Source organism: Homo sapiens, chromosome 3 (genome assembly GCF_000001405.40).
Source record: "Homo sapiens chromosome 3, GRCh38.p14 Primary Assembly".
In the NCBI taxonomy this organism is placed as follows: Eukaryota; Metazoa; Chordata; class Mammalia; order Primates; family Hominidae; genus Homo; species Homo sapiens.
Window position 1 is genome coordinate 74,505,314 of NC_000003.12, and position 15,475 is coordinate 74,520,788.

The 15,475-nt window shown below is 36.2% G+C and overlaps 1 protein-coding gene across 3 annotated transcripts in view; it reads right to left on the bottom strand.

The window, feature by feature from the left end:
• Nucleotides 1–15,475, bottom strand: part of CNTN3 (contactin 3) — a 352,092-nt gene that overhangs the window by 242,746 nt on the left and 93,871 nt on the right. The window contains exon 1 of one of the 3 annotated variants that reach the window (XM_011533768.3): nucleotides 11,343–15,056. The exons of the other annotated variants lie outside the window; for them this stretch is intronic. Coding sequence (XP_011532070.1) covers nucleotides 11,343–11,397 — 55 coding nt within the window. The 5' untranslated portion in view covers nucleotides 11,398–15,056. Of the gene's footprint in view, nucleotides 1–11,342; nucleotides 15,057–15,475 lie in introns of those variants that run through there. 3 annotated transcript variants of the gene reach the window in all.

A 15,475-nucleotide genomic window follows, 5' to 3' on the forward strand; every position in this document is an offset into this window, starting at 1 on the left:
ACTCTGATTTTGTTTTGAAGTAAATAAAATGCTGACCTTGCTTTGCTTCCTTTTTGATATGGAAATTTTCATATGAGGAAAGAATGCTGGGAACTACTGCGACCAAGTGGACACCATGAGGGAGAACACTATACGTGTGTGTGTGTGTGTGTGTGTGTATAAAATATATATTTATATATGTGCATAAATACACACACACACACACACACACCACACATACACACAATATGTTACAGAAAAGGCAACCCAGAGCTCTCACATCTTTGAGTTCCTGAACCAACATGAACCACATAATTCCAAACATCATGTGTTGGAAAAATAAACCTCTAATGCATTTTGTCACCTGCAGCTAAAAGCTATACTGTAACCAATGCTCTAGAAAAAAAGAAAAAGGTAATATAATACACTTCAGATCAGAAAGGAAAATAAAATACTTATTAGGAATAACTAATGTGTCTGTTTTCCACATCTGGAAATGTTAGCAAGCAATTAAGTTAAAAGAAAAAGTGCTAGAGTATAGCATGCAGCTGGAGTATGATAGCAAAATAACACCAATAAAAGTGATGAAAACCCTTTAAATTGAGAAATTAATAGTTCACTACATGATTTTTCTCATTGCATGGGAAGTGGCATTCAATAATTAGGGAATTGGAACTGAGAGGGACTGGTTAAGCTTCACAGGACCTAGAAATAAATGTTCAAGTAAAATAATACTGCTCGCAGGAATGGCAGAGCCCTTTCAAAGCATGGAGATTTTACCAGGAATTGCATTCATCCTCTAATTGCAACCTGCCTAAGGAAACACAAAAATGTCCACACATATAAAAATATATGTACAAAATGGTTTGTGTTTAAGGTTAAGTATCTTGATTTTGGCACTTTGCTTTCATAAATTAATCGCAGAGTTTGATTTAAAGGTATGATCTATTTCACTGGACTGATTAACATTAGTCTGTACTATAATTCCATAAAAGAAGAGGACTTGAGAGTACTTCTAAAAGTGCCCAGTGTTTTATGTTGATACTGTTTAACTCCAATGGCTATATTTTTGCTTGTTGAAATGTTCTTTATAGTTGAATGAAAGGGTTAATTTATAGTTATAGCGCAGGACATAATGTTTTTGGCAGAAAAACAGGGTGGGAGGAGATGGGTTGGAGTCTTGGGAGATTAAAATGTTTTCAAAGTACTTCATAGCTTTCTGTATTTAAATTCATGCTATTTTCTTTTTATGAATGTGAGCTTTAATGTTTTTGAACCTCCATGACATCCTTCTATAATTCTCAGAACATAATTATACCTTTCTTGCTAGACAGCTTAATAGCAACCCCACATGATTAAAAAAAAAAGTTAGAATGCCATTGTTGGATGCAATATGCAATGTGTACAATACACCAGGAGAACACAGTCAATGGTCCATTTATCTGAAAAAAAAAAAAAAACAACACTTACATTCCCTCTTTCTATTATACTTATTGTACATTTTTGAAATGTGCAAATTCACAAGGTTCTCACTCACCACATGAAAAGAGTGCATTAATCAACTCTTTTTAAAATATTTCTTTAACACATTACTTTCAAAGGTTTTAATAGAGATGATTTCATTTCTATTATGGAACCCATTATTTCTAACAGTTTCTATTCTTTAACAAAGGGTTCAGGTCAAGGCCAGTTAGGACCAGACACAATTCCCTTTATGTATCTTAGAAAGAATGTTTCATATCAAACTAGTTCAAGGTCACTGTTTCTATGAGCAAATAATTATCCAATGAAGAATTCCTTTTGTAAATTAGTTGTAATGGAGAAGCTATTAAGAACTAATACTAGGCCTGGTGTGCTGGCTCACATCTATAATCACAGCACTTTGGGAGGCCAAGGCAGGAGGATCATAGGAAGCCAAGAGTTCAAGACAAGCCTGGGAAACATAGCAAGACTCCATCTCTATAAATAAATAACAATTAGTGGGGCGCAGTAGTGCATGCCTATAGTCCCAGTTACTCAAGAGGCTGAGATGGGAGGATCACTTGGGCCCAGGAGTTTGCAACTGCAGTGAGCCATGAACACACCACTGCACTCCAGCCTGGGCAACAGAGTGAGACCCCATCTCTAAGAAAAAAAAAAAAAAGAACTAATACGACTTAGTGATTGTATTTTGTAGTATTTTACAGCTGTAATCTCATAAAGTAGAAAAGAGCATACTCTATTACTGCCCCCACCATAGTAAGCAGAAGCCAGCACTGTGTTTGTAAATGTCTGAGTGTATAAACACCATCTACTTCTCCCTCCCTGTTTCTTTTTCTTTTCTTTCTTTCTTTCTTTTTTTTTTTTTTTTTTTTTTTAAGAAAGAGTCTTGTTCTGTCACGCAGGCTGCAGTGCAGTGGCCCAATCTTGACTCACTGCAACCTCTGCCTCCCGGCTTCTAGCAATTCTTCTGCCTCAGCCTCCTGAGTAGCTGGGATTATAGGTGCCAGCTGCCACACCCGGCTAACTTTCTGTATTTTAGTAGAGACTGGGTTTCCCTGTGTTGCCCAGGCTGGTCTCAAACTCCTGAGCTCAGGCAATCCATTCGCCTCGGCCTCCCAAAGTGCTAGGATTATAGGCATGAGCCACCGCGCCTGGCCTCCCTGTTTCTTTTCTTAAGTGAGGATCCTGATTTTATACTTCCAGACTACTGAGAGGGATTGAGTTGGGTTGTGGGGTAAGATATGAAGGTCTAAGGAAGCAGAACAGAAAGGATAACTGATATGAGTAGGCTTTGTGTCTCCACCCAAATCTCATCTTGAATTGTAATCCCCATAATCCCCATGTGTTGAGGTAACTGAATTATGCGGACAGTTTCCCCATGCTGTTCTAGTGATAGTGAGTGAGTTCTCATGAGATCTGAAGGTTTTATAAGAGACTCTTCTCCCTTTGCTCGGCTCTTCTCCTTCCTGACACCGTGTGAAGAAATGCCTTGCTGCTTCTTTGCCTTCTGCCATGATTGTAAGTTTCCTGAGGCCTCCTCAGCCATGTGATTCAATTAGGCCTCTTCTCTTTATAAATTACCAGTCTCTGGCAGTTCTTAATAGCAGTATGAAAATGGACTATTACAACAACTTTCCCCAAAATGCATCTGGAACTATGGGGTGCGGAGATTGGGGTATGTCTTAGAGTTGCCTAGGCTTACATTTGTTAAACTTATTTTTAATTGATTCACAATTAAAAATGTAATTATCATCATGATTAATTGTAGACACAGTAAGCATACAACTGATAAACATACAACTGATAAAGTAAACATACAACTGATAAAAAGATTTCTTCAAATAATATTAATCCTTACTGCATGCTGGACTGTTAACTTTTTTCCTTTATATTCTATTCTACTCTATTCTATTCCATCTGATGTGCTTTATCCTACTTTTAAAAATGCTAGACATAAACTACTACTATGTTCATATCATCACAACATCAATGGGTTCTTATCCCCAATTTGATAAGCTTTGGTCTAGAAACCTTCTCTCCTGCCACCAGTGCCCCAGATTATTTTAGGAGGGAATGGGTGACAACTGCAAGATATTTCTTTCATTTCCTTTTCTTAGGAATGAAACCAACCTTGGCAATGTAAGAAAAAGTATAAGCATCTTAAAAATTGAAAGAGTATCACTGGGCCCAAGATACAGTAAAGACAAGAGAGCCCTCCTCAAATCTACTGAACTGCTACCTCTGTAGCCTCAGGGAGAAGAGAAATACTGTGTATTGCCAAAAATGTTGGCAAACAAAAACATATTTTATTTTGTTTTCAGAAGCATTGTTTCTTAGAGCTATACAGTATGGAACAAAATCCCTCTTCATTATATATTCTTAGTTAATAAACACATGCACATTCTAAAATGTCAACCTGTGGAGGGAAAATAAACATGGGATGCTAGGCCCAGTATTACACACTTTGCATTTGCTAAATCACCTAATTCTAAGTGACTATTAAGCACTCTGAATAAAAAAGTGGTGCTCCTTTCCTTTCTTTTTTTTTTTTTTTTTTGACATGGGGTCTCGCTCTGTTGCCCAGGCTGGAGTGCAGTGATGCAACCTCCACATCCCGAGTTCAAGCAATTCTCCTGCCTCAGCCTCCTGAGTATCTGGGATTACGGGCACACGCCATCATGCCCAACTAATTTTTGTATTTTTAGTAGAGACGGGGTTTCGCCATGTTGGCCAGGCTGGTCTCAAACTCCTGACCTCGTGATCCACCCACCTTGGCTTCCCAAAGTGCTGGGTTACAGGCATGAGCCACTGTGCCCGGCTTCCTTTTAATTCCTATTGCTTTCCTTAATAATGGCACAGATTATAAATAAGTAACCCACAGGGCTGGAGAGGATGAGTTAAACCGGAATCTCTCTATACTTTTTTGGTACCACCGTTTTGGAAGAAGCATTTGGCAGTATGTATGAGAAGCCACCAAATTGTGTAAGGAAGTCTGAGGAAACTCTGCTCTCAATTCTTTCATTCATCCTCCCTCATTATCTCCCTTGTAGTAATCGTTCCTCATTCTGAATTCCTAGAACAATGTTTGTGTATTTTACTCATCACAACATCATTATCCTATAATATATTACATGTACTTGTTTTTCACTCTTATCACCCTCATCCCCGGGCTTTATACTTTCAGAAGATAGTGACCATATTTAACACACACTTCTTCTAACCTCTTAGCATACCTATTTTATATACATATATATACATATATATAAGTTTTCATATATATATATATGAAAACTTAGTAAATTAGCAATTGTCTGGGAATCTCCCTGGGTCTGTAGGTGTGTTTACTTAAGCATCATTGCAGATGGTTTTAATTTACAAAATGTTACAGCTGATCACAGAAAGACTTCAGACTTTCCTGAGACCACCCTAATCAGATTCACTTAACTCCAACTGTAATTTATGCATCCAACTATAACACAATATATTATATAAAAATATGAACATATAACGGAAGCGAATTCAGTGAATGTGTCTATGACTCTCATGAAACATCTTCACTGTGTCCTTACAGAGGCAGTTATTTCTGTTAGGCAGTTTGCAGATTCTTGATCATCTACACCCCGTGCACACCCTTCTGAGTACCATCAGTACAGGTACAAGACAGGACTAGCTTCACGAAAGTACATACAAAAATAGCACTTTCAACAGCAATAGCACCCTAACAGTAATCTTTTGCAAACCTCAGAGTGCTGAACTAAAGTCCCTTTTCTGCATTTTAATGACTTGTTTGAAAGTAACAGCTGCCTAAGACATTAAAACAAAACAAAACAAAAATGCTGAGTTCTGCTTGGTGTTTCACTTACTCAAATCTCTAAGAATGTTTACTGTGGTTAAAGTTACCTTCAGGAAGGGTCAGCATTTGCAAAGGCCTTACTATTCCTACGGAATGTATCTTTTGGCAAAATATCCCCAAATCTATGAGAAATCATTTATGCAAGCTATGAATTTAGTTAACAAGTAATCAACAAGCAATTCTTACTTTAATCTAAATCTTCCAAAGTTAGGATTCAAATCAGTCACCTGCTGGCTGCCTGGACACATTCCACATCTCGGTCCCTTAATCTCAGTTTGAGCTTTGGGTCTGCTTTTCAGATAGAACCTGGGCTAGTTTGTTTTTTTCAAGTTTTTGCAAATCACAAATTCTACAATCATATGATACGTATATGACCTATCATAGATACTGGGAATTTAGGTTTGCAGAGCTGCACGATGGTGGCTATTGGGCCAAATCTATCTTGAACACTTCTTAAATTTGGATCAAAGAATTTCAGGAGGGGAGAAAACACTTCCTTTAAATTGAATGGCTTCATTTAAAAAAAAATCCAGAGATTTAGGCCTAAAGTCAAATTTCACCTTCTTACAAACAAAAAATCAAAGGTCTAGCAATCTTCAATTCAGCAGTTCCATATTGACAGAGCACAATTTCCATATTCATAGACTACAGCCCTACAGGGAGTAAGACATCCATGGATGTCAGCAAGAAATTCACATATAATTACTTGCAAAATAAGTTGATTTATCAAATAACATATCTTGGATTGATTTATGTCATTCTTCCTCCTGGAATATTTTTGCCCTTTATCCTTCAAGGCATAAAGTCTTGAAGGTACATCTAAGTATAATACCACTTTATCAGAAATTCAATTCAACACATCTCTACAAGAAGTAAGATAAATAAATAAATAAATTAGCCTGGCGTGGTGGTGTGCCTGTAGTCCCAGCTACTTGGGAGGGCTGAAGCCAGGGGATTGCTGGGCCCAGGTGTTCAAGGTTATAGTGAACTATGATCTTACCACTACACTTCAGCTTGGGTGATGAAGTGAGACCCCTGTCTCTAAAAACAAACAAAGGAACATTTCATAACGTGAAAATTATATAAAATTTGAATTTTAATGTCCATAAATAAAATGTTATTGGAACACAGCCACACTGACTTGTTTATATATTGTCTATAGCTGTTTTACACATTACAAGGGCAGAGTTGAGTAGTTATGACAGAGACTACATGGCCCACAAAGCTGAGAATATTTACTATCTAGCGCATGTTATGAAAAATTCTGCTGACCCCAGCTTTAGGAAAGATCATGTCTACTAGGAGGAACAGTGACTCTGGACCACAATAAACATGATTTTTTTTCCCATTAATATTCCATTTAGCTTTAGGCAAGTCATTTAAGCTCTCTGAGCCACTGAATTCTCTACTGTTATATGGGAATGATATCTATAATATAGGATTTTTGATGCAAAGATAAGCAGTATTTTTTCATTGCAGCAGTGGCAATGCAATAAATGTTATTTGATATTATTATTGCATATTGTTTACTTAGCATTGCATCAAACTTTTAATTACCTCTGACTGAGGAATCATAATTTATGGGAAGCAGTCTACTATGGGATTTTATTCACTATAGCCTCCTATATACATGGCCTGAAAAATAGGATGGAATTGTCGTTATCTTCATGGTAGTTGTGAATACTGGTACCTGTGTTCAGTTATCTGGTTTGAGCAAATAAATGCAAGTATTAAGTCTGAGACAAAAGGTTCCTATTAATCTGTGGAAGGTAGTAACTTCAAAAAGAGGGGGAAAAGGGGGAATCAGTATAATGCCCACTGGATCAGTTCTCATTGAGAGACAATTCTCCAGCAAGTATTTACTTTCTACCCCTTCTTCAAATAATTACTCACCAAAGCAATATCAATGGGAAACTCAACAAAATAAGCAGCAAAGAGCTTTCAAAAACCCCATGAGGCAGAAAAAAAACATTAGATTCTTTTATACTGTTATTTATTTTCTCCTATAATAGAAATAATGGCCATAGCACTGAGTATTCTCATTTGTTTGGCTGCATAATCAAGCAAAAAAAAAAAAAAAAAAAAAAAGAAAGAAAGAAACATGTCATTTGTGGCCTTGTATATACTGCAGTAAAATTATTCCTTAATGAAAAAATAGATGTTCACTCAGAAACCCACACAGTACACTGTTCAACAGTCAATGCTTCATAATTATCTACATAATTATGCTCCACTTAATACCACTTCTCTCGTTTTGTACATATGTCTGAGCTTAAATATCGCTTGCAAGTGTGCAGACATTTGCTCACACACACTCATGGGATAAGAATGAAAAGTTCTATTTTGCCATAGAGTGAAGAAGTCATGCAAGGTATTTTAATATCCACTAAAAATTTAATAATGAAAAACTTATTTGGAGACAAAATCTAGGAGCTCTAAAGCTTAAGGCTAACGTAAAAACACACAAATGTTGCCATCTCCCTTTACTTACTGGGTGACATACTCAGACTGCCCTTTAAATCAAAAAAGTTTTCAGAACAAGACAGAATGAATGATGTTGCCATGAACAAAGTAAAAAAGGAAAAGACTATTCCCAGGATTCACGTGCTTTTGGACTAAAACTTTAATCGTACCAGTGCTTCCATGTCCACAAGTGACACCAATCAATGTCACAATGGCAGCAACTGATCCCAGAGTTGCCTGATGCCTTAAGTTCAGCCAATAGCAGCTTTCACCACAACCTCCCTGCTTATAAGATTGGAGGAGCAAATAATGTACACATGGTTAGAATAAACAATGAGTAACTAACCAGAGCCATTTATAAAATGGCAGCCTACATATTCCACTCTCTCAGGTCAGCAGACACTAGAAAGCTGTCCAGATAAAGAAACCAAACAGTCACAAAGTTCAGGGAATATGGTTTCATGTGTTAACACACCATTTCACACCCCCATAACTAGCCCTCAAGAGCTTCCACAAATAAGGGCTGGATCTTCAATGGCTGTCCGAGCAGTCCAAAAAAAAAAAAAGAGCAGCTTCCTAAAAAGATATAGTTTCACGAGGGCACTCACCACTAGCTGAGGCCCAGGTCAGCCTGTGCAAAAAGTTTGTTTTGAACTGTCCTTGTAGTTAAGAGGAATAAATTGCCTCCTATTAAAGTGACAGGTAGGAATATTACTTTTGTCACCCCTAGTCCTATAAATAAAGTAAGCCCAGATGGTATAAAGAGAAAGTAATAAGTCAAATGCCAAGACTTGCTTACTTCCTTAGTTGCCAAGCAGAAGTTGGAAACACATTGGGAAGTCTAATGGCCAGCTAGGGGTACAGAATTTTTTTGACTTTTTTTTTTTTGGTCAACATCAGGTTTATTATTTTCCTTCTTTTCAAGTGATAAATATCAACAATGTAGTATAACCAAAAATCAGTGTTTAATATTTAATAAAGTGTTATTTTTTCAAAACTAATAGAACATTGAGGAAAGATGTCATATTCACCAATATTTCAGCCTTAACCGTCTAACATGAAATCACATGTGCATAGTGAGATCACAATGATACAAAATTGGACAACTGAATTTGTAATGCAATGGTAGTGATAATATGCTCCAATAATTGTCAACAATTTGACAGACCAAGGAATCAATAAAAAGGATGTTGAATAATCTTCATTTATGTATTTATCTACTGATAGAGAAATAAATTCTAACAATCTCTCCATTTCTAGAAGTCATTTGCCATTTCACTGTACATTCTTCAAAGAAATTAATATGATGTTTTTGTAGCCATTATTAGTTGGTCTTAGGGCAAATGAAAAAACTGGCAACCATTACACAATCAGCCACCTTAGGAAAATATCTGGGCTATACTTTTCCCTACCACAGTTGGCAAATAACTTCTAAAAGTTGTTCATTAACGTGACACTGCTTTAAAATGATAAGAATAATACCATAAAAGATAAAATGACTCTATCTTCTCCCATAGTTTCATCCAATTACACAACCAGATGCTTATATATGTAGGGATGCATGTGTAACTTGATTTTTCTCTACTGCATATAGTTCTTGCAAAATAATTTTAAATGCAAAATATCTCTATTTAAAATAGTATCCAGTGTTAGATTTGTAACCACAGAGTTCTTTCACTATGCATTGTCTCAGACTTAGTATTGGTTGATATTCAAAGGAAGCAAAATGCAGAGAAGTGAAAATAAATTGTTTTACATACCTATCTGTGGGAAAAGAGAAAACACACAGCAACTTAGGCCTAACAAAACAAGAGCAGTGAGCTCTGCCAGTTCTCAAATTAAAATATGCAACCATTTTTCGAGTTAGAATTGTGCCTCAAAAGTAATACAGAATGTAGAAATGGTCCTTAGAAATGAATATTTTCTTATGTTCAAGCTTTGAATTTCTGGATGTGGGGAGGGAGTTGGGTATGTGGGAAGTTTGAAAAGAATAAACACTGGAAAAGTCCTCTAGTTAATAGAGGAAGGGACCCTCAAGGGATACCCCACAGGATTTTTCACTCCATAGAGTCTGAATGTTATATCAAGCAAAAAGAAAATTTTTAAAACTCAGAGGAAACAGAACATAGAAAGTATGTGGGAGATAGACACTGCACAGTTGAAATGAGAATTACAGAAAAACATATGTAAAATACCTCACACAGGGCCCACCTCTGAAGATGGTCAAGTGATAGTGGTCATTACTTGTATGCAAGCTTCAAGACAATGACTGGCAACTGATAATCATGAGGAAATGGCCTCTTTCCACACTGGTGAGCATTTTCATACCATCAAACTCATATCATTATTGGCAAGATGGCATACACATACTATAAAGGAAATACACATCCTGTTTAAGGACCCAGTCTCCCAAATACTCAGTAGTGGGTGAAATAAATCAGCAAGAATTATTTGACGCAAGAAACCATTAGTATGTGTTCACTATTCATTCCGAAAGAGCAGTGTACAGTCTTCAAGAGGGAAAAACAAGGTAGGTCAACATAGCAGCCAGGGCTTGAACATATCAAATATCTACACTGTGAATGAAATTCTGATTCACTAAGCCAGTTGGCATGTCAAGGAAATTCCTAGCCAGTTGATCTCAATGAACCCTCAAGTTTTGTTTGACTTAGAAGCAGCTCTATCTGAAAGAAATCATTTTCCTTTCAGCAACCCAACCTTCCTGGGAAGTTCAGCGTTTGACCATTCACTTAAGGCTTTTCACCTTGAGAACACTTATTAGTTGAAAATCTTCAGAGATATTTTCAAAAGACAACTCTCCTCAACTCCTCTCAGTGCACACCCAGGTCTTTGTGCACACACACATCTATCTCCCAATCGCTGATAAGTATCAACAGTCTCTCTTACCCACCACCAAGGAGGAACCACTTGGTTCTTTTCTGTAGAAGAATGTACAACACACCATACAGATGAAAGGCTTAGTGCAGCTGAAAACCCCCTAGATGAAAATTCAGGCAGTCTAGAAAAAGCTCTACTGAGTCAATAACAAGCTATGTGACTTTGAACAAGTACCTGAAATGCTCTAGATCTCACTGTGCCATCTACAACATGGGCAGGCCTGGAATGCACACAGATATGCATGTAAATACAGTTGACTTCTGAACTACACAGCTTTGAATTGCACAAGTCCACATTTGCATGGATTTTCTTTTGCCTCTGCCACCACTGAGACAGCAAGAGCAACCCCCCTTCTTCTTCTTCCTCCCCAGTCTACTCAATGTGAAGACAATGAGGATGAAGACCTTTAGGATGATCCACTTCCACTTAATGAATAGTAACTACATTTTCTCTTCCTTATAATTTTCTTAATAACATTGTCTTTTTTCTAGCTTACTTTACTGTAAGAATACAGAATATAATACACATAACATACCAAATATGTGTTAATTGACTATTTTATTGGTAAGACTTCTGGTCAACAGTAGGCTCTAAGTATAACAGTTAAGTTTTGGGGGAGTTAAAAGTTATACATAGATTTTCATACTTGGGGGGATGGTCAACACACCTATTGAGATGGGGCAGAGATCCTTCTTAGGGGCCTGCCAGGCCTTCCCAAGCATAGAAGTAAAGAAAAATCTTGAGTTCCTTCAACGGAAATTCCAGGCGCTGAGCTAGCCCTGATAAGTAAATGAGCAACTTGGTAAGTAAGAACATAGTAATAGCTTAAAACAATATCCAAGGAAGTTGGAGTCACAAGATGTCTGGCTCCTCTAGAAACTAAAGACAACATGTTAATATATATCCCTGAGCTGTTTTTCAGTAAAAGGGACCTTTACCAAATGGAACCTCTGGCCTATAGACCTCAGATAAGGGGGAAATGAGGACTGAACCCTGGCCACAGTTCCTGCTTCTAAATTTCTTCCTGAGGGCCCCAGAGGAAGTCATGCCCACAGGCCAGACCTTAACAGTCCTTTCTCCTGACTCCAAGTTTTTAGACAAAGCTTCACTTTCTTAACCAAACTCAAATTAGAGAGCCAGAATCCATCTAGGAGAGGGACCTGTAACCTCCCTCTCCTCTTGCTTCAAGATACCCACCTTTTTAGGCCAAACCAATGTATAACCTGCATGTGCTGACTTACGATCTGGCCTTTAACTTCTGCTTTTCTGAAACTTATCACTACCTTTAAAAACTCTTGCTTATAAGCCACTGAGGAGATCAGGTCTTAAGTGTGAGCTGACCAATTCTCCTTGCTTGGCTGCCTGCAAATAAACACTCTCCTTTCTCCCACTGCAAAGCCTTGGTGTGGATGTTTGGCTTTACTGCACCAGGAAAGCAAACGGTTCATTTACTGAACTGTCCGTTCAGTAACACTAACACCCATATTGTGCTAGGGTCAACTGTATACATGTGTACATGTCAGTAAGTATAATTCAGTTTTATCAAAGTATTACGGACCTCAATGTATTTTCTTCCCCCCTTAAAGCCCTACATTCCAGTAATTCAAGGCTTCCTACTCACAAGCCTCAGTGGCTTTTCCTCAGACATCCTCTTCTTCCACCTCTCCCTTTTCCTGAACTGCTTCCTCAATTTCCATGACATCCTGCTGCACTAGAGATCCTTCCACATCTCTGTTCAATCTTTTGTAAGCTCTCCCACTTCACCCTAGGTTCCAGCCTGCCCCTTTCATTTAATTCTCCATACTTCATCCTTAAACCTTCTCCTCTGTTGCTGTCACCAGGCAAACACCTCCCTATCCTGATCTCCTGCAATGATACCCACCCCTTGTGAATATACCAGCTTCCATTCTTTTGCTTTCAACAGACTTCCTACTCAGGGGTATTTAAAAACACTTTTATGTGATGAGTACTTTAAGACAGCTTAACACTTAGGCAACAGTCAATTAAATTCATTTGAGTGAGCACTTTATTTGCAGGAGTCAGTTAACTAACCAACAGATACTTTTGAGACTGCTATTTTAAGAACAAAATAAAATTGTGGGTTGTATTTAACCTTAAATGTTTGTTGAACTCTAATAGCACTTGCAATATATTTTTTAAGTTCCCCACATGCCTTCTTAGTCACCATGCAGCTTACAAAATATCCAATATGCGGAGTAATCAATGATCAAGGTTATAAGAACAAAATACACCAACAGTGTCTGCATCTTTTACTGATTCTCACATGCGTACTCTGATAAACTGTCAAGATTTAAATGGTATAAATGAAAAGCAATTCAAGATTTAGTCTGCTGCAATAGAGGGGATGATTTGAAATAAGTTTTTCTGTAAAAACATGGAGGATGTCAAGATTTATATGCAGGGATCAGTGACATCTCCATTCCACCAGTATCAATGCTATCAAATCATATTACACTGTGTACAAATACTACAGAAGAAATGACAGCCACTTGAGTTTATGGCAATTGCTTACTCGAAGTGCCACATCCAACACCACAAACTCACAAAGTTCCAAATCTGCTTTGAGATTAACTGCAGTCCAGAGGCATTCTTGATCATTTTCTCAGTGATTTTAAGAGTGGTGTTATTAAACCCACCAAATGGAAAATACTCCTCAATCATTTCAGGAAGAACTTGAAAAGTTTATTTTGCTTTCAAAGCATTCCTTAATCACTATTAAGGGAAGACTAGTACAGAAATTCATTCACATTTGCATGACATAGAATGGAAGAATGCTATGATTGAAAGCATTTGAAGATGTGTGTCAGCAGTCTTAGGCTGTATTTGCATACACTGCAACTATCACTGTGAAAACAAGCAGCCCAAATATGTGAATTTTGTGGGCATATGTTGTCCATGACTAAATCTACAATACTAAAGTAAGCCATTGTTCCTGTTTGGTGACCATGTCTTTTATCCTTCACTATAGTATTGATAATTTTTAAAAAATAATTTCATGAAGGTAATCTAAATTCTCTCATATAGTATGATCTGTAGTCTCAATTATAATAGGCTTAAGTGTATATTTATATGGACATAGGCCTCCACTGCCTTTCTAATTCCCTAAAGAGGAAAATATAAAGTTCAGGGGTCCATACATTACATATATTTGCATGTATAATTACACACACATGGAAACATATCTACATATATGTGCAAATATATATAATTACATATAATTTGTCACATGTAAATTAATCCAATTCTCCCTTACAAATCCTTATAACGTTTTACCACCATATCTAGAGAATAAGTTGACCTTTAAATTCTTTATGATGTCTTCACATCTTACTAAAGTGGACACTGCTTTTTCTATATATTTGTTCGTAAATATGTAAAACATTTCTCAAAAATGCTGAAACACAATACAAATTTCACATAATGTAAAATTACAACTAAAAATGTGAAACCTTTTAAAAGCTGATCTCATTTTCTTTTGCTGCCTTTCTACTTTCTAAACATGTCTTCCTCTTTCTGAGTATGTCTTTCTGTGAATGTCTCCTCAACTATTTGGAAAATTTCAACATTGCTTTTACAAAATTTCATATCATAAACAGTAATACTGCTGCAGTACATTTTGTGTCACTTTTGCTCCTTTTCCTAAAACAGAGATTATATTTGAAACTTTATAAATGAAGAAAAGACTCCAAGAATAAAATATTTTACCATATTGAACTTTTTCCAAAGCCCATTTGAAAGTCAGAAATTTTTAAACAACTATTCTTTTTGTCCTCAGTACTTGATGAGTAGCAGTCAATGAAAATGTTTTAGGAACAAAATTGAGGCATCACAGTAAAAATCTGTAAAAACTACAAAAAACCTCTTTCTTTTAAAAGTTAAAGATTTTAATCTGTAACTATTATTGATTATGGATTTTTGCTATATATTATCATGTAAATATTTGAAGCATGTTTGAACTTTGACATAAGAGCCTAAAAGTCTATTCCAATCTATTCATGTCTTTAAATAACATGTGTTTTACCTGACTACTCCATTTGGCCTCATTCCGCACTCATTTTCTTCTTTTAGAAAAGTCTCAAGCTACTTTTTTCTTAGGTTCCTCAGGTATCATGAAGAAATTATGTTTATGTAGAAAAGTGGTCTTCTAAGGAGATGAGTATTAAATTTTAGGAGTAATGCTTTTTATGACTTACTTTCAAATGGGTTAGCCAAAATAAGTAGACAGATAAAAAAAAAAGGAAAAAGCACACATTCACACACATATATACAGAAGAAATACAGTAAAATGGTACAATAGCTACATCTCAATAATACCTACAGATGTATTCATTCATTGTATTATTGTTTCAGCTTTTTTGGTGCTTGAGAATATCATAAAAAGAGGGAAAACAAAATAAAATAAACAAAAAGTTAGTTATATATACACTATTTTAAAAAAACTCTTCACTTACTTATTTCTCCAGAAAATAAAATAAAATTAACAAAAGAAAATACAACAAATGATTTGTAATAGTTGCTTTTGTATGTGTCAAAGACGATAATTTTTTTTCATTTTTTCTTTCTACTTTATTCTAAATTTCAAATTTTCCAAAATTAAAAAATAAAATTGTATCTATATTCAGTTTTGGTCCTTTAGATAAGTTATTTGCTAAAAGTAAAACATATGAAAATACCAGCACTTTTTAAATTTATATGCTCCTTTGTATGTGAGATCTCACCTCTTTAAGTTCCTTTGGAAAAAAAATGTCACAAATTAACATGCTCAAATTTGATGTTATA